The sequence below is a fragment of the Homo sapiens genome, chromosome 20 (assembly GCF_000001405.40).
Source record: "Homo sapiens chromosome 20, GRCh38.p14 Primary Assembly".
NCBI lineage: Eukaryota > Metazoa > Chordata > Mammalia > Primates > Hominidae > Homo > Homo sapiens.
In genome coordinates this window covers 57,254,720-57,272,992 of record NC_000020.11, presented here as the reverse complement: position 1 = coordinate 57,272,992, position 18,273 = coordinate 57,254,720, and the positions used below count along the sequence as shown (strand labels likewise).

Sequence of the window (18,273 nt, the reverse complement as noted above, 5' to 3'; positions counted from 1 at the left end):
GATGCTGAAAAGCAGGAGCAATGAACACTCACTCCTGCTCTTGCAGATGGAATTCTGGTTTTTGATGTTTCTGGGGAGAGGGGGAGTTTATCAGATCAGTCACCAGGGCCAAACAGCAGAGTTTTGCTGGGAAGGGACTCTGGGGAAGGTTAGGGTCAGATTTTGCCTAAAGGGGCAGACAGTTCCAGCCTTTTCAACCACTGGCTCAGTAGCCCTCGAATCATGAATTCAATGGAGCTGTCTTGAAATGCACCATCCTTGGTGGTCCTTTGGTTTGGGTGATGGGTTGGGGGAGGCTGGGCACATCCTCCAGACACAGCAGAGCCCTTTATGAGGCCAGGGGCAAACCAGATTCATCGAATCTGACTGGTAGATGTGTCTTCTTTGGTCTAATAACCAAAACGAGTTGAATTAGTTGCCAACAGATAAACATTGAGAGATGTCACATTCAAACTCAAGTTTCTAGCTTCTTTGGAAAATCAGAACTTTCTGGTGATGTTGGAATCAAATTTCTGGATGGCATCACCCATGGGCATGTGGTTTCCAGTTCACCCCAGTCTGCACCCTCCTTATTTATCCAGGCCAGTGTCTCCTGCCACCTGTCACCATGTCTGTGCTCATGATTGCCTTCCATTAAATTAAGAGGAAGAGAAATATTCCTTGAGCTTCATGTTGCATCTCTGTATTTATGTTACCTGGTTGGTGCCCGTTGGCTTTTGAGTGTATGACTTCTGCAATAAAGGAGGAATTGAAGAAGGGCTCAGAGGTATGTTCCTCAAACACTGATAGGGCATCTACTGTGTGCAAGGCCTCCATGGGTACTGGGAGGTCCCTACAGGACTAAGACAAACCCTGTGTTTTGGTGTACCTCAATGTTTAAGGACTTAAGTCCTGGAACAAGATAGCCGGCGTCAGAATTCTGATTTTACCATTCACTCACCATTGGTGTGGCTTTGGGCAGGTTCCCTCAAGTATTTGAGCCTCAATTTCCTCATCTGTAAAATGGGGATAATAATAATAAAAATCATACAAGGTAGTTGGGAGAATTAATGAGTTAATTTTAAAAGACACCTGGAATCATAGATATTGAAGTTTTAATTTGAAGCCCCAATTTGTCAGCTATAACTTCAGAAATCTAGAGCCTCGATCGTCAACATACAGCCTGAAGACGACAGCCTCCGAGCCCCCAGGAGCTAGTTAGAAGTGCAGAATCTCAGCTCACTCAGACTGACTGTGGGAATCTATGTTCTAACAGACCCCCAGGGGATTCACACGCACAGTTGGGTTGGAGAAGTGTTGCTTTAGGTTAAAGCAAGGAAGGAAGGGGCTGCTCCCAGGTCACTGAACGTGCACTGATGCTTAAAGGCCTGGGCTGTGTAGACAGATGTGGCTTTGGATCCTGGCTCCATTACAGATTAGATTGGCTGTCTGACTCTGGACAAGGTGCTCTCGGGATGTTGGTCCTCCTCTGCAATCTGAGGAGCAGAACTAGCCTCTCCATGCAGTGGGGAGTTGCGGGTGATGTGGGCTTGGGCCGTGCAGGCCTAGCAGGTGCCCAGCAGAAGCAAGTGCTCCCAACAGGTGACAGGTCGGCCGCTCCCCTGTCACGTTTTGGAAGGAGGAAAGGGCTACCTCTAGTGCTGAACCGAGGATAGTTAGTGCTCAAAACCATACCAGATTTCCTCCAATCAAGGAAGAAATAACAGCCCTGATAATAATAAACAAAACCACTGCTTCCCCCTAGCTGGCTTCCAGATCCTAGAAATCCTGCATGGTATCAGCTTTCTCTAGAGTGTGTGTGTCGTCTGTATTTTCCATTTGGAACTGTGGCCACTGCCATGTGTACTTAAGACTGATGGAAGACGTTTAATCTCTTATTCTGCTGCTTTTAAAGTTGTGCAAAGAAAATCTCAGAGTGGGCAAGCGTGAGGAGTCCAAGCCTCCCGTGCAATGAGAGATCTGCGTGGGAAACAAAATTTCACCACAGGTGTGCTCTAATAATTTCCTCTGCAGGGTCCACCTCTGCACACAACGATTTTCAAGCCTGTGCAGGAGGCAGCTCTTGGCCCTCTATTCCTTGTTGGGGTTGGAGGTCCAGGTCATCTGGCCTTTGCCAGGTGGTGTGGACAGAGAGAGAGCAGCCCACTGGCTTCCTTGGCTGTGCTCCCCAGGGAGCTTCCAGGCCAGCTGAGCCTCCTCTAGGGCAGATGGATGAAGATGAGGTCCCCACCTCGCTGAACAATGTGTGTGTCAGCAGAATTCTTTTCTTCTTTTTACTGCCTTAGAGAGACATGCTGACTTGGTCAAAATCACTTCAGCAAGATGTGACTGATGATGTAGGAAATGAAAACTCCTGGCCCAGCACTGGGAGGCCAGCAGGCGAGGGGCGCGGACACTGGGACCGGGCCACCCGACACAATAACACCCCTTACAATTCCAGGCCGTCTTTCATCCAGGCAAAGGCGGCCCCAGGTGTGGAGCAGACTGGGGCAGATCAGATTACGGTCCTGGAGCCCAGTGCTGGGTGCCCTGGCCAGGGGAACCACAACTGGGGGTGTGTGGGTTGGGGGCTAGCTGCTGGGGAAATGAGATAGGACCCAGGGAAGTCCCTGGGCCCCAGCTGGCCTGCAGGGGGCCTAGGCACAATGTGAGGATTGGAATGCAGTGATGACCTTTTCATCTCTCATGTTCCCTTCCACTTCACTCTCTCTTTTGCTCTGGTACTTTTGCTCTTGCTCTCAGAGTCAGGATACATCTGCTTTTCTCTGCTTGGCCAAAAAGCAGACCATCATGAAAAGTTTTGTTGTTATTTTGTAACTCAGGAGGCTTTCCTGTTACCATATTTTCCTTTTCATCCAGATGGTAACACAATAACATTTATCAAGGGTTTTCTCTGTGTTCCAGGCACTGTGCAAAGCCCTTTCCATGAATTAAGTTCTGCAACCTCACAGCGATCCCAGAAGACAGGCGCTATCAGTCACCCCATTTTACAGATGGGGGAACTGAGGTGTAGAGAGGTTAAGTCCCTTGCCCATGGTGCACAGCTGGAAGAGACAGAGCTGGAGTGTGAATGCGGCTGGGCAGGCTCCAGTGCCCAGGCTACCTCCTCCACACAAGACTTGCCCTCGGCAATCTCAAAGCCTTTTCTGGTGGTGGGCTCAGCTCCCAAACTGGCATCGGATGCACTCCCAGCCAGATATTTCTTGCTTGCCGGTTTTCATTCATTCATTCATTCATTCATTCATTCATTCATTCGGCATTCACTGAGGGCCTGGTGCAGTCTTGGGGATGCCTCTCGGGGAGGAAACAGGGAAAAGAAAGACCCCCCCACCAAGCATGGATCACAGAAAAGATAAGGCTAAATGGGGGTTTGTGGGACTTCAGAGGAAACCTTATCTCTTGAGGTCTTGGATATGAAGAGCATGTTGTCTCTTCCTCTTGCATGAGAAAAGATGGCGTCTCAGAGGAAGGGTTGCTGGGGTGAGGGATCTGGGAGATGCCTTAGCTTGGCGCCTGCACAGTCAGCCCTCAGTCAACCGGTCTCTTTAGGTTTTGGCTGTGCTTATTACTATTCATTCAACAGGTACTAATTGAGCACCTGCTGTGTGCCAGGCTCAGAATAGGCTCAGGTGAGATGCACAAAGAAGGGTAAACTAGAATCCTTGCTTAGACACTGACGGATCAGTTGTTTCATATGTAAATTGTAGCACCAAGACCTGCTGCCCCTGCCCCCAGCCTCACCTGCTTGTGAAGATCCCTCCAAAAGATTTGAGAGTAGATAAAAAGCAGAGACTACTACTGAAGAACAGGGCTGCTTTGGCTCCTTATTATTTCAGACTTTGGAAGAAAATGACCTCCTTTTTCTCTACTGGCACTGGAGGTGGCATAGCCTGTCCCTAGCAAGCCAGCGCTGGAGGGCGTGTGCAGGGCTGGGGACCGAGCCTGGTTTCTGTTCCCTGCTCTGCAGGGCTCAAGCACTTGCTGTTCCTCCACCTGGGATGCCTTTCCCTGGAAAAGCCTGTCTCTTTCTTGTCTTTCAGGACTCAGGTCAGTGGCATCTCCTCCAAAAACTCCCCTTCCCACCCTCCATCACCTCACCCTGTTTATCTGCGCCCCCGCCCCCACTGCCTGTCACTTATTGCAGGCTGAAGTGACCCAGGCTCTCCAGTTGTACACTCTCAGATGGACCCTGGACGACTGTGGCACTCCTGCAATTTCCCCAGTCTCCCTGGGGTAGGATTCCTGCTTGCCAGGATGCCCACCTTTCCTTCTCCCTCCTGCATGTCCTCCTCTGCCTGGCTTCTGAATTGTTTCCAGAGAGAGTGATAGACAAGATCTGCCTCTCCTTCAGTCCCTGAATCTTATTTAAGGCTCTTGCTTTGCTTCCCTGGCCTGGAGGCCGGCTCCTTGATGGAGTCTGCCATGTGGGTTCGCTCATGGCCATGTCTTCCTGCCCAGCATGGTGCTTGGCCCTGGGACTGGCCACATAATATCTGGGCCAGGTGCAAAATTAGTACGGGGCAGGGGGTACTTTGTTCATAGGTGATTCAGAACCACATATGGTGACCTCAGAGTAGGAAACCAAGTGTGGGGCCCTTAAGAGCTGGGGGGCCCTGTACGACTGTCCAGGTTGCAGGCCCCACAGCTCGCCTCCTGATATCCTGTGCTCCATGCTTGTCTGTTGAAGGAAGGAGTGAATGGATGAAGAGCAGGTGGTGGGGGTGGTTTGAGGGCCTTGCCTGGTGGGTGGGTAGAGGCCCCTCCCTGGCATGGGGCTCAAGACCTGTTCCATCCCACAGCCTGGGGCCTGTGTGTAAATGGCCAGGACCTGCAGGCTGGCATTTTTCTGCTCCTTGCCTGGCCTCTGGCCTCCCCTTTCTCCACCCATGTGGCCCCTCAGGCTGCCATCTAGTCCAAAAGTCCCCAAGGGAGACCCAGAGGGCCACTTGGCCAAACTACTTCTGCTCCAGAAAACTGTAGAAGACCATAATTCTCTTCCCCAGCTCTCCTGCTCCAGGAAGGACAGCCCCAAAGTGAGGCTTAGCCAGAGCCCCTCCCAGACAAGCGCCCCCGCTTCCCCAACCTCAGCCCTTCCCAGTTCATCCCAAAGGCCCTCTGGGGACCCACTCTCTCACCCAGCCCCAGGAGGGGAAGGAGACAGGATGAACTTTTACCCCGCTGCCCTCACTGCCACTCTGGGTGCAGTAATTCCCTTGAGATCCCACACCGGCAGAGGGACCGGTGGGTTCTGAGTGGTCTGGGGACTCCCTGTGACAGCGTGCATGGCTCGGTATTGATTGAGGGATGAATGGATGAGGAGAGACAGGAGAGGAGGCCGATGGGGAGGTCTCAGGCACAGACCCTTGGAGGGGAAGAGGATGTGAAGACCAGCGGCTGGCTCCCCAGGCACTGCCACGAGGAGGGCTGATGGGAAGCCCTAGTGGTGGGGCTGGGGTGTCTGGTCTCAGGCTGAGGGGTGGCTGGAAAGATACAGGGCCCCGAAGAGGAGGAGGTGGGAAGAACCCCCCCAGCTCACACGCAGTTCACTTATTCACTCAACAAATCGTGACTGCGCAGCTACAGTGGCTACCAGGCGCTGGGTTCAAGGCACTGCGGGTACCAGAGGTGCGGAGAAGATCGCTGATCCGGGCCCCAGTGCTCTGGGTGTCTAGCGGGGGTAAGAAGGCAATAAAGAAGGCACGGAGTAACTCAAACAGCAATTCCAGACAGCAAGAGAAACTACAGGAAAGAAAACAAACGTGCGAGGGGCGAGGCGAGGAAACAACCTCAGCTTGGCAGGTCTTGGAGGTCTCTGGGAGGAGAAAGCAGCGTCTGATGGGGGCGGGAGGTGGTGAGTGGGGAGAGGTCCAGGCGGAGGGAATGGCGAGCGCAGAGACAGGCTGGCAACGGCTTCAGGGAGGCGCGGAGGGGTCAGCGTGGCTGGCTTAAAAGGATACAGGGACTGAGGGGCAAGACCGGCTCAAGGGTCACCGCTTCCAGGAAGCCTTCTATTTCCGCGCCACCTCCGCGCTCCCCCAACTTTTCCCACCGCGGTCCGCAGCCCACCCGTCCTGCTCGGGCCGCCTTCCTGGTCCGGACCGCGAGTGCCGAGAGGGCAGGGCCGGCTCCGATTCCTCCAGCCGCATCCCCGCGACGTCCCGCCAGGCTCTAGGCACCCCGTGGGCACTCAGTAAACATTTGTCGAGCGCTCTAGAGGGAATGAATGAACCCACTGGGCACAGCTGGGGGGAGGGCGGGGCCGAGGGCAGGTGGGAGGCCGCCGGCGCGGGAGGGGCCCCTCGAAGCCCGTCCTCCTCCTCCTCCTCCTCCGCCCAGGCCCCAGCGCGTACCACTCTGGCGCTCCCGAGGCGGCCTCTTGTGCGATCCAGGGCGCACAAGGCTGGGAGAGCGCCCCGGGGCCCCTGCTATCCGCGCCGGAGGTTGGAAGAGGGTGGGTTGCCGCCGCCCGAGGGCGAGAGCGCCAGAGGAGCGGGAAGAAGGAGCGCTCGCCCGCCCGCCTGCCTCCTCGCTGCCTCCCCGGCGTTGGCTCTCTGGACTCCTAGGCTTGCTGGCTGCTCCTCCCACCCGCGCCCGCCTCCTCACTCGCCTTTTCGTTCGCCGGGGCTGCTTTCCAAGCCCTGCGGTGCGCCCGGGCGAGTGCGGGGCGAGGGGCCCGGGGCCAGCACCGAGCAGGGGGCGGGGGTCCGGGCAGAGCGCGGCCGGCCGGGGAGGGGCCATGTCTGGCGCGGGCGCAGCGGGGCCCGTCTGCAGCAAGTGACCGAGCGGCGCGGACGGCCGCCTGCCCCCTCTGCCACCTGGGGCGGTGCGGGCCCGGAGCCCGGAGCCCGGGTAGCGCGTAGAGCCGGCGCGATGCACGTGCGCTCACTGCGAGCTGCGGCGCCGCACAGCTTCGTGGCGCTCTGGGCACCCCTGTTCCTGCTGCGCTCCGCCCTGGCCGACTTCAGCCTGGACAACGAGGTGCACTCGAGCTTCATCCACCGGCGCCTCCGCAGCCAGGAGCGGCGGGAGATGCAGCGCGAGATCCTCTCCATTTTGGGCTTGCCCCACCGCCCGCGCCCGCACCTCCAGGGCAAGCACAACTCGGCACCCATGTTCATGCTGGACCTGTACAACGCCATGGCGGTGGAGGAGGGCGGCGGGCCCGGCGGCCAGGGCTTCTCCTACCCCTACAAGGCCGTCTTCAGTACCCAGGGCCCCCCTCTGGCCAGCCTGCAAGATAGCCATTTCCTCACCGACGCCGACATGGTCATGAGCTTCGTCAACCTCGGTGAGTAAGGGCAGGCGAGGGTACGCGTCTCCTTTCGGGGGCACTTTGAGACTGGGAGGGAGGGAGCCGCTTCTTCTATGCAGCCCGCCCAGCTTTCCGCTCCTGGCTGAAATCGCAGTGCCTGCCCGAGGGTCTCCCACCCACAGCCCTATGACTCCCAAGCTGTGTGCGCCCCCAGGTCGGGCGCGCTGGGTTCGGTGAGCCTGTAGGGGTTACTGGGAAGGAGGGATCCTCCGAAGTCCCCTCCATGTTACGCCGCCGGCCGCATCTCTGGGGCTGGAGGCAAGGGCCGTTCAAAGCGCGGGGCTCGGTCATGTGAGCTGTCCCGGGCCGGCGCGGCTCGCGCTACCTGGATGTAAAGGGCCCTTCCCGGCGAGGCTGCCTTGCCGCCCTTCCTGGGCCCCTCTCAGCCCTGCCTGGCTCTGGCATCGCGGCCGTCGCACCCCCTTACCCTCCCTGTCAAGCCCTACCTGTCCCCTCGTGGTGCGCCCGCCTTAGCGTACCGCGCGCTCCGAGCGCCTTGGGGCCCCTCTCCGGGCCGCCGGATGCCCCATTCTCTCTTGGCTGGAGCTGGGGAAGAAACGGTGCCATTGCTAATTTTCTTTGTTTTCTTTCTTTGTTTATTTTTTTCTTTTTTCTTTTTTTTTCTTTTCTTTTCTTTTTTTTTTTTTTTGAGACGGAGTTTCACTCTTGTCGCCCAGTCTGGAGTGCAATGGCGCGATCTCTGCTCACCGCAACCTCTGCCTCCCGGGTTCAAGCGATTCTCGTGCCTCAGCCTCCCGAGTAGCTGGGATTACAGGCATGCGCCACCATGCCTGGCTAATTTTGTATTTTTAGTAGAGACAGGGTTTCTCCATGTTAGGCAGGCTGGTCTCGAACTCCCGATCTCAGGTGATCCTCCCGCCTCAGCCTCCCAAAGTGGTGCTGGGATTACAGGCGTGAGCCACTGTGCCCTGCCGCTAGTCTTCTATTTTAAGTATTTAGTGGTAGGTCCCGGGCCGGCAGAATCTATTTTCAGCATTTACCACGTGTGGCGCGCAAACCACAGGTTTTGGCGATTGGGTTGCGCGGGATCTCAGAGCTGACGCCGCGGGGGCGGCTGGGGGTCCCGGTTTCCGACTGGAGCCGCGACGACCCCGGCGACGCGAGCCTGGGGCTGCAGCGAGGGCCGGGGAGCTCCCCCTCCATATGTGCGCGCACATTCTCCAGACTTGCTCAAACTAACCCCCCGGCAGCGCCAGCGCGCTGCGGGACTGATGATCAAATATTTGGTTTCCGAGATAACACACCCCGATAGCGCTGTTTCCTGAGCCGCTTTCATTCTACTTGTGTAACTTGCTGCGAAAACCCGAACCAAGTCAAGACAGCAAACTCACGCCCACGGGCGCTGTGTCAACATGGAAATAATGATACTGAAGCCCCACGCTGGGCACCTGGGGCGTGGACTGGGGGCGCGGGGGAAGCGCAGATCCGCCTTCATGCTTCCCCCTCCTGATAAGGTCCCTGGAGTTCCCGGGAGGCCATTGTCTGTACTTAATAATAACTAAATCCAACTAGTGAACCAAGCTTCAGCGAGCAAGGGGTGGGAGGTTTAGATGCCAAAATACCTTCAAAAAAGTTTAAATTATACTAAGCAGCCAGTTAAGAAGGAAGCAGCAACATATGACCTGATTTAGAACCATCTCCAAGATGTATGAGGTGGAAAGAAGCAAGGTGCAGATGAGTGGGCTGCATGTGTGCTTGTATATCATCGTGTCCTCCTGGAGGAAGACACCAGGAACTGGAGAGAGATTTTACTGGAGGGGTAGAGAGGCGGGGGCATAGCTGGGGCTTACGGAGTGGGAGGTGGGGTCTGATTTTTCGTCGTCTGCACTTCTGTATTTGTGATTTTTTTAAAACAATGTGTATTTATTAACTATACCAAAAACTAAAGGAAAATTCCAAATACATACATATAAATAATGAACGCAGAGCTCTGTCGCCCTCCTGAAGCCTGGGGTTAGCCAGGGCCCTTTCTCTGGTGGGGGATTTATAGCATCTTCCCTTCTGTTGGGTACCCCGGACTCCCACTGAATGTGCAGGTCCCAGTGGCTGCCTTCAGAGCCTGGCTGGAATCATTAAAAAGGTATTTGTAATCTCTGGCTTCTGCAGAAGGCCCTGCAAACCAAGAGCAAAAAAGCCCCCAGTGCTTATGGGCCGGCAGTGTGGGCTAGGCCCCGGGGCTCCCTGTCCCCAAGAGAAAGACCAGGTTGCTCGGAGGGTGCCTCTGGGAACTTTGGTGCGGGCTATTTGCTCCCCCCATGGCGGCAGGAGCAAGCTGGGACTTGTTTGGGAAGGCCACAGCTGGGTGGTTTTCCTCCTCTGGCTGTACATACACCTTTCAATCCATTTCTTTCATCTTGAAAGGACAAAGACCGGCTTGTCTGAGCCTCTTAATCAGTCAGGCTGGCTTTGGGCTTTGTGGGACCCTGACTTTCTCAGGTCTAGCTTTCTGGGACATCACTCCAAATTAGATGGCAGAGTGGCTTTTAACAGAGCGCACTGACCTTGTTTTCTTTCTCTCTCTGTCCCTAAACTCGAGGTCATTAGTTAGGTGAAGACCTGGGCTGCAGTTTGGCGAGACACTTCCTGTAGATGCTTCTAATGTTGGCCTTTAATTTCTGCTAAGCAGCAGCACACAAATAAATGGCCTGTCCCTTCTATCCTGTTGTAGCTTGGAATTTCTCCATAGGAGGGACTTGGGGGTGGCAGTAGGGTTGGAGAGGGTTGGGGGGAGGTGTAGGAGACTTGTCTGGCCACTGAGTTTGCTGAGAAAGTACTGCTATAGTGTTTTTCCTTGGATTGCAAATCATGTTGATCTGTAGTATTCGAAGTTTTCTAAAGGCAAGTTTATTCTCACAATTTACATAAGAGTGAGAAAATATCACTTGCACATATCAAACTATTACTTCTTATTATGGTGGGAGTTTGGCGGGGGGGGCATGGGTGAGGATCTTGGCAGCCTCTGCTGCCCCTTCGCCCTGCACTGCAGAGCTCTGCTGTCTTGCAGGCAGGCGGCCTGCGTGCGCGGGAGGGGGGACCCTTGCCTGAATTCTGAAGGCTTTTGCAGACCTGGTGCATTTATTCTTCCTTCTGTCTGCCGCCAAACTGGTTTTTGTTCCTATAAGTCGTTCTTGGAATTCAAGTTTTTTGCCAGGCTGAGCGGGATCTAAACTAGAGGGGAAACTAGAGGGGAATTTACGACAAAACCAGGTGGTGGGAATGAGGACTAAAGGCCGCACCTTATGACAAAGCCCAGCCTGTACCATAAAGCCCCAGGCAATGTGAACTGAGCTGCCTGAGTGAGACTCCCATCTTCCCAGCCTGGGCCCCTTAAGTTCAATGGCAAGATTTGTAAACTGGTTTGGATTAACAACCCCGACTCCTCTTTGTAGACTTAATTTTGGAATTCAAAACAGCTACCCTCTCTTAAATAATCCCCAGGCAATGGCGACTCCGCACACTGCATCTAGCCATAGCCCGTTACCATTCTTTCTCTGGGAAGATCCAGCAGCTCTGTTAGGAATCTTGTAAAGTAGCCGGCTGGCACTAGGGGAGTGGAAGTCATCATGTTTATCTCTGGTCCAGGTAATGAAGGCATGAAATTTGTGTAATCTTTGAAGGAAAAGAAGAGAAAGTTGGAAACCTATCATTATTGGAGTCAGCCTATAAAAGTGGCTTTTGTTAATGTAGCTGAAGAGTAGGGAGAAGGCCGTGCAGTTTGATTTTTGCTTTATGCCATCTGGCTGTCCTTTTTGTTGACAAGTGTTTGGCATTAAGACCTCTCCCACTGCCCGTCAAGAGCAGGCCCTACCACTGTAGAGTATTAGAAAAAGATTCTGTTACAGTTTAAAAATTTCCTTCAGGGAGTGCTTCGCAAAGGGGAGCGTGGACTGCAGGCATTTGCAGCTGTAACCTGGCTTGTGTTAAAATTTGGAAGGGGCTGCTCCACATTCCAGCACTCGGAGCGCCGGCCCTCACTGGTGAGCAGCCAAAGGTTAATATAGATGTCACACAGCTCCCCCCTTCTTTCTTTCTGCAGAGCGCCTTTGCTATAGGAGTGCACCAACAGCTGTGTTTTTCGTAACCCTTTCAAAATCACTTCTTTTAAACCTCATTTTCCTGCTTATATAAATCAAAGATTTTCCTCCACTTTTCCCAAGCATGTATGTGACCCAGCTTTGAACTTTTTTCATTTTCTATGTATTTTCCTTCTGGAATCAAGGCAGGGTAAGGCTGAGCCCTGGATGCCAACTTGGGTGGCTGTTTTTGGTTTTGGTTCCAGGGTTGTCATTCGGTTGTGGAGCGGTCCCCATGGAAGGGGTAACAGAGATGGCCCACTTGCAAATCAGTTTCAGGGCAGCAAGGGGGATGATTGTCTGAATGCACAGACAGACGAAACCGCTTTTGAGATGCAGCCCTCTCAAGCTACGGTTTGGGGCTTTACCATGGCGTAGTAGGCTCTCAAGCCTTTGCCGAGATAAACACAGCTGGTGCGCGATCCCCTCACCACCGGAATGCCTGCGATGTGAGTGAATATCACGTGTCCGCTGAACTCAGAGACAACTGGTGACTTCATTCCAGGGAGAGTCCCATCTAAGTTGATTGATCACTCCTATCACTTTAATATCTCTCCCTCATTTGGTAAGGTCATATTTGGCCCATTGCAAGAATCAGCGTGCCCTAAGTCTCCCCCGTCTCCACCCTTCCCCATCTGCCCATCCGTGTAACAGCCTGAATATTTTGAATGGGGAGCCCTTTGCACCATGCTTCTGGCCACATTAATTCTTTCACGCTCACTCTTCAGTCTTAGCGGGGGGGCTGTTGGCACACTGGTTTCTTGGCAAGCCACTGCAAGGCTTCGCCTTAATGCACTCTGGCACTGTCACCGGGGTTAGGGCACAGGCAGGGATGTGTGGGACCTGTCATGTTATTGTCAGAAGGAATGTGCGGATTAGCCTTTACAGCGTAGTGGTGGGAGAGCACTGCAGCTGTGTACACTTATTATAAAAGATTTAAGTCCCACTGGTAAAATCAATATATTGAATTGCACAACCCTCTGCTTTTAATTAGTTTAAATCAAATGCGCCGGTGCCATTTTGCCTTCTCTCGCCTTCATGGGGTGAGGAACTACCAATATTTACATAGAAACTGTTAATTTGTGGTGAAAATGATAACACATTTAGCTTTACACACTCAAATTGCTCCAACTTGATGGATCCCAGATCAACGTGGAGTTGAGCTGAGGAGATGACGTCACCAGGAGCGGGGAGGAGACACCCGTGATGTCTGTTGCTTGGACCCTGGATTCCAGATGCAGGTGGACATGTGTGTAGAGGCAGTGACTGGGGATGCTGGTCCTTCAAGAAGCGAGCTGGTTCTTTCTATTGCAGGTCAAAAACAATGAGATTTACCTACATCATCTAAAATCCTTTCTCGGAAGCATTCTTACAAAATTGCGAAGTGGGCACTTGCTCTTGGGTCATTTTGAGCCTGTTCTCACAGCATGCAAGGGTCATGTACTGGGCAGCTCAAGGCACGGTGCTTTATTTATTCCAGAGCTTCACATGCTTTTCTTTCCAATCCCTGAAACAGTTTATAGAGGAAGGGCGTTTGTTCACTGCAAATGATCCCATGTACGACCGCGGCTATTAGTGAGCCGTTTGGTATTAGCTGTGTGTTCAAGCTGGGATTGAATTCCGGGTTTTGCAGCAAATGGCATCTGACAAATAATAATTGACAAAAAATGTGACTTGGTATTTCTTAATATGGAACAGATAGTTCATTTAAGCTTCCCCGGCAAAAAAAAAATTGCTCAAACTCAAACTGAAATAGCAATGCCAGGGAATACTAGGACTGCTGCTGTGTATTTTTTTCCGCTCCAAAGTAGAGTGTTTATGATTTGGGGGGATATTAGAGTGCATGAAGTTTGACACTTACTTATGCGAAACTCAGGCAAGCATGTGCAATACCGCCTTTTCAACATTTGTGTCGGAAGGCATTGTGGGGAGCCGCGCAAAGCCTGTGCTGATCCGCGTGGAGTGGATTGAATTAATGACAACTCCGAGAGCACCAGCTTTAGGGTAATTGCTTTATTGTTTTGGAGCCAGGGTGCATATAATCCGGTTCCTGTGCAAACATGTTGAACGTGTGTTAATGCATTTCCAAACCAGAGCCTCTCACACAACCCTGCTTTTCATTAATTGATGTCGGTAGCATGGTACAGTATTTCAAAGGGCTGGCCAAGTATAAACTGTGTTTCCAATTTCCTTCCTTTCCTGTGTTTGGAATGCCAATGTTAATTTGTTCCCATGCAGGAGCGGGGGCTGCCAACCGCGGCTTTCTATAAAGGGCTTCACAGTGAAGGCTTCCAGCCCTCGCTGATGCTTGGGGCTGCCTGGCCAAGTCTCCTGACACTTTGCAGCTAATTCTGGGTGATATATGGGGTGGGGGATTGGGGGCTTCACTGCCGTGTAACGGAAGTTCTCGGTGACAGCAGTGGGTGTGACTTGGCAAGGGAGATTGGAACGGCATCCACAGTGATTCTCTTTAGACACAGCCTAAACCTATGTGTCTGTTTCCACTATGACAGCACATTAGCTGTGTGACCTTGGGCAAGTTACTTAACATCTCTGCATTTGTGTCCTCATTTTATAAAGGCTACAAGAGAATCTCTTCCTCAACAGATTCTAAAGAAATAGAAATCATATCACCCATGCGCAGAGGCTGTCACCTAGTAGGTGTAAAACAAATGGTAGCTCTTGTTTTTATTGTGTTGGCCAGATGAAGATTTACGTTGGTATATTAGTCCAAATTTCAGTTTTTAAGTACTTAATCTTAAAATACTGAGATTAAACTGCCCATGTTATTTTAAATGTCAAGAAAATGGTCCCCAGAGTGTGAATATGTGTGCGCCTCCCTCTTTCAGAGATCAATGGAATTTGAATGAATGCACCAAACTTATTTGAGGATGAATAGAGTCTAAGGCTGAATCTTTTCCCCAATTTTAGCATCTATGGTTATTTAATGATTTTACTACTTGGGAAACTGGAACTCAGTGAGAGGGTATACCGGAACTCTCTGTAGTGCCTTTGCAACTTTGAATTAAAAATTAATTTCAAAATAAAATGTTTCATTTAAAAAATTGCATTATTGAAGTATTTCTTCCCAATCCTTTCTGGAAGATGGTCAAAGTACAAATTGTCTTTTCCTTCAAGGGAGTGACAAGCCCAAAGCATTCATTAACAGAACTGCACAACTTCCCCACTTTTTATTGGAGCAGGTGCAAGGCTGCCCAAGGCTCCCGCAGCTGGGGTTAGGCTGCAACAACAAAGCCCTGTGTGGATTCAGCATGTTTAGAAGCCTCTAGAGACCAGAGGACGAAAGAGAATGGCTTCAGGGCCAGATACCGAGGGGTGGCGTTTCTCATTCAAGACTTTCCATAAATTCCCTTCAGCTCTTTATACTGTTTGAAAAATCCGACTCACCAAGTATTAGGTTTCCCTGCATCTCTGAGGTCACGTGTTCTATCACATCTTTATCTCCCTGGAGTAGCTTTCAAGTTTCAATCTTTTGTTGCCTGGCTTAATTAAAATTGGCCACGAATAAAAACTTGCACCGTTTCCAAAATCGAGGACTTGTGTGTTTCTAAGCATTGGGTTTAGGCCTGCCCTGTCTTGTGCTTCCAGCCTGTCTTCTGCTTTCATGTAGCTTGGACTACATGAAGAAAAAGAAAAAGCTAAGCTCTTAGCATGACAGTTGGCATATAATGGTCCAAGTGCTCATCCCCCTGGCAACTTACACACACAAAGGCAGGCAAGTTTTTTTTTTTTTTTTTTTTTGGTGGCTTGTGTTTTGGCCTTCAATAAAGGACACTTTTCCTGTTTTTTTTCAGACAGCCTTATTCTCCTGCCCATGCACAGCCTTGCAGAATTCTCATGGCATAGAAGGTGCTCAGATATTGGTTGTTTCGGTGCACATATGGCATGAAGACATTCTAAGCAGTCTCTTCTAAATGCTTTTGATCTCCAATTCCCACTACTACCTTTTCAGGTACATACCTTAAATAGTAATAAGTTGTATAACTACTGCAGGATAGCTAGGATAGCTTGTGCTTCATAAAACATAGACAAAAATAGAAATTTAAGTAGGAGACACTAAAGCTAAAAGCAATACAAAATTTTGGTGTTTGTTAATTAATACAAATTTTAACTAATGAATCATTTTAATTTTAATTGTTAACACAATTTTAATTAACAATATACATTTAATTAAAATTAAATTTTAATATAATTTAATTAAGTTTGCAGTCATGAAAATTTGCGGTGCAATGGACTGTTCTTTGGTGTTTTCAAAATCATGATTTAACAGTTTAGAATCACTGATCTAAAGGCCTGGTCCCAAATTTCGATGACCCTTCATCTGGTCAGTATAAATGAAGTTATTGTGTGTGAAGAAACTCACAATCTTGGTGCGTTAAAAATCCCAGAAGTTTGTTTTTCATTTGTATCACATTATAGCTCTATCGTGGGTTCAGGGTGGAGGCGTGGAGTTCTGCACATTGGTGGCAGCAGAGTCCCTGGGAGAGGCTGAGGTCCTCAGAATGTTACGAATAAGGTGCCAGAAGGAAAGATAATGTGAACTGTGCGTTGGCTTTTAATATTTCTACCTGGGAGTGACTTTCTAACTTCAAAAATTTCTATTTTTGTCTGTTTTATGAAGTACAAATGATCCTAACTAGTAGTTATACAACTTATTTCTTTTTTTCTTTTTTTTTTGAGATGGAGTTTCGCTTTTGTTGCCCAGGCTGGAGTGCAGTGGCGCGATCTTGGCTCACTGCAACCTCCGCCTTCTGGGTTCAAGTGATTCTCCTGCCTCAGCCTCCGAAGTTGCTAGGATTATAGGTGCCCACCACCACGCCCAGCTAATTTTTGTTATTTTTTTTTATTTTTTATTTTTAGTAGAAATGGGGTTTCGCCATGTTGGCCAGGCTGGCCTCAAACTCCTGACCTCAGGTTTTATCCACCCGCCTTGGCCTCCCAAAGTGCTGGGATAACAGGCGTAAGCCACCTTGCCCAGCCACAACTTATTTCTATTTAGGGTATGTACCCCAAAATTTACTCTTCCACCTGAAAGAGCTTCTGCTCACATTTCATGGGCCAAAGTGAGCCATGTGGCCAAACCTGACCCAAGGTTGGCAAGGAGATGACGATACCACTGCTTGCTCAGAAAGGCAAAGCACCAGAGAGCGTCCAGGAAATGGCACAGATGACACCACGCTATCATGATTGAAGTGTCTCTCACAAGATTCAAAGACAGAAATGTGGGAAGTAAGTTGTGGGGTGTGTTACTGAAACCAGAGCTTCATTTTTCAACCCCACCTGTCAATTATGCAGATATTTTTGTTGAAGCTAGTGAACTCCCATGATTGTCAGTTGGAATTTGCATAACAATTATAATTGTAATATATCTTTTCCTGACTCCCAGTGGGTTCCTCTTGCCTCCTCCCATCTTGCGCTTCATTTTGGAGACTGATGTTCTGGAGGCTTCCATCTCACTGAAGTACTCAATTGGTTCAACAACAATAACATCTCTTTCCATTCCCACTTGTAAAGTGACTTCCCTGTTTATGACTTGTCTTTCAGCAAAGGCAAGCTTCAGCTTTTGTCCGGTTCACTATCTAGAGAATTAAGAAGCATTACTCTGCTCCTGGCTAATGAGGTGACTGCTGGTGTTTCCCCGGAAGATACAGGTTATCACTTCGCCATGAAATCTTGTCCACAATGGAAGAGCTGCTTGCTTTCTCTCCTGGGCCTTGGAGACATTCCTTTTTCTTTCTTTCTTTTTTTTTTTTTTTTTTTTTTTTTGAGATGGAGTCTCTCGCTATCCCCCAGGCTGGAGTGTAGTGGCATGATCTCCACTCACTGCAACCTCCACCTCTGGGCTTCAAGCAATTCTCCTGCCTCAGCCTCCTGAGTAGCAGGGATTACAGGCTCCCACAACCACGCCCGGCTAATTTTTGTATTTTTAGTAGAGACGGTGTTTCACCATGTTGGCCAGGCTGGTCTTAAACTTCTGACCTCAAGTGATCCACCTGCCTCAGCCTCCCAAGGTGTTAAGATTACAGGCGTGAGCCACTGCAACTGGCCCCTTAGAGACATTTCTTAGTCCAGGCAGGATCTTGCATAGGCTGAATCTAGACATTAAATTCAGAGACCCCTTCATCATCTAAATGCATCACTGAAATGGATTGTAGACCTCAGAGGGCTAAGACCTTTCTGTGTAGCAGCAATGGATTCAGAGTAGCCATCTTTATGGGGCCCTCATGCAGTTCTCTCAGTATTCTGCAGGGTAAGCAGTGTCATTTCCATTTTAGAGAGGAGGATGCTGAAGGGGCCCAAACATGCACAGCTAGGAAGTGTGGGGCAGATGTGTCTGTCCAGCTCTTGCTGGGTGCAGAGCTGCCCATTCTTTCCTCCTGAACCTGTGGGGTATCGAATAGGTAGCGGGGAGCGTGGAGGAGATGATGTTGAGACCATTAAAACAGAAGCCGAGCCCATGGCCTTGACTCTGTGGTCCCGTGTTCTGATAAGTGACATAGAGATAAGCAGGCACACACCTTTCCCTTCTGTTATCCACCCTGCTTGTGATACCTCCCCTCTCCTCGGTCTTTATGGTTTAAAAATAATTGTCAGGGCATAGGGCCCTGAGTGCCTGTGGGGGGCACCTACATGTACCCCATAACCCTTCCATGGGGAAATTCCATAGCCAGCCAGAGATTGGTATTTTAATAGCAATTCCTCAAGATGCTGTATAAAAAAGACCACAGAAACAGTTTTTTTCCGTATGTCCCAGCATGCCTTTGTGTACGGTCTGTAGTATTGTAAACTCCCCAAAATCAAAATGTGCATGAACAGGGGATTCGAGAGAGAAGCAGGTGTAGCTCT

The 18,273-nt window shown here is 50.6% G+C and overlaps 1 protein-coding gene and 1 long non-coding RNA gene across 2 annotated transcripts in view, besides 5 other annotated features; one reads left to right on the top strand and one right to left on the bottom strand.

Annotated features, from left to right (window-relative positions):
- Window positions 3,503-6,864: a promoter, noted in NCBI's record as "3.3 kb promoter fragment". NCBI's record gives the evidence for it as "EXISTENCE:reporter gene assay evidence [ECO:0000049][PMID:11401538]".
- Window positions 5,706-6,553, bottom strand: LOC112268270 (translation initiation factor IF-2-like). Its single transcript, NR_171651.1, has 2 exons — window positions 6,351-6,553; window positions 5,706-6,210 (listed from the first exon to the last, which is right to left on the bottom strand). It is a non-coding gene; the product is annotated as a translation initiation factor IF-2-like (long non-coding RNA).
- Window positions 6,153-6,245: a transcriptional cis regulatory region, noted in NCBI's record as "AatI/PvuII fragment". NCBI's record gives its function as "negative regulation of promoter activity" and the evidence as "EXISTENCE:reporter gene assay evidence [ECO:0000049][PMID:11401538]".
- Window positions 6,352-18,273, top strand: part of BMP7 (bone morphogenetic protein 7) — a 97,889-nt gene continuing 85,967 nt past the window's right edge. Inside the window, exon 1 of the mRNA NM_001719.3 lies at window positions 6,352-7,288. Coding sequence (NP_001710.1) covers window positions 6,871-7,288 — 418 coding nt within the window. The 5' untranslated portion in view covers window positions 6,352-6,870. The remainder of the gene's footprint in view (window positions 7,289-18,273) is intronic.
- Window positions 7,973-8,688: an enhancer, noted in NCBI's record as "H3K4me1 hESC enhancer chr20:55839361-55840076 (GRCh37/hg19 assembly coordinates)". NCBI's record gives its function as "activates a minimal SCP1, AML or CMV promoter by ChIP-STARR-seq in primed H9 embryonic stem cells {active_cell/tissue: H9 hESC(primed)}" and the evidence as "EXISTENCE:reporter gene assay evidence [ECO:0000049][PMID:30033119]".
- Window positions 9,407-10,123: an enhancer, noted in NCBI's record as "H3K4me1 hESC enhancer chr20:55837926-55838642 (GRCh37/hg19 assembly coordinates)". NCBI's record gives its function as "activates a minimal SCP1, AML or CMV promoter by ChIP-STARR-seq in naive H9 embryonic stem cells {active_cell/tissue: H9 hESC(naive)}" and the evidence as "EXISTENCE:reporter gene assay evidence [ECO:0000049][PMID:30033119]".
- Window positions 13,058-13,620: an enhancer, noted in NCBI's record as "H3K4me1 hESC enhancer chr20:55834429-55834991 (GRCh37/hg19 assembly coordinates)". NCBI's record gives its function as "activates a minimal SCP1, AML or CMV promoter by ChIP-STARR-seq in primed H9 embryonic stem cells {active_cell/tissue: H9 hESC(primed)}" and the evidence as "EXISTENCE:reporter gene assay evidence [ECO:0000049][PMID:30033119]".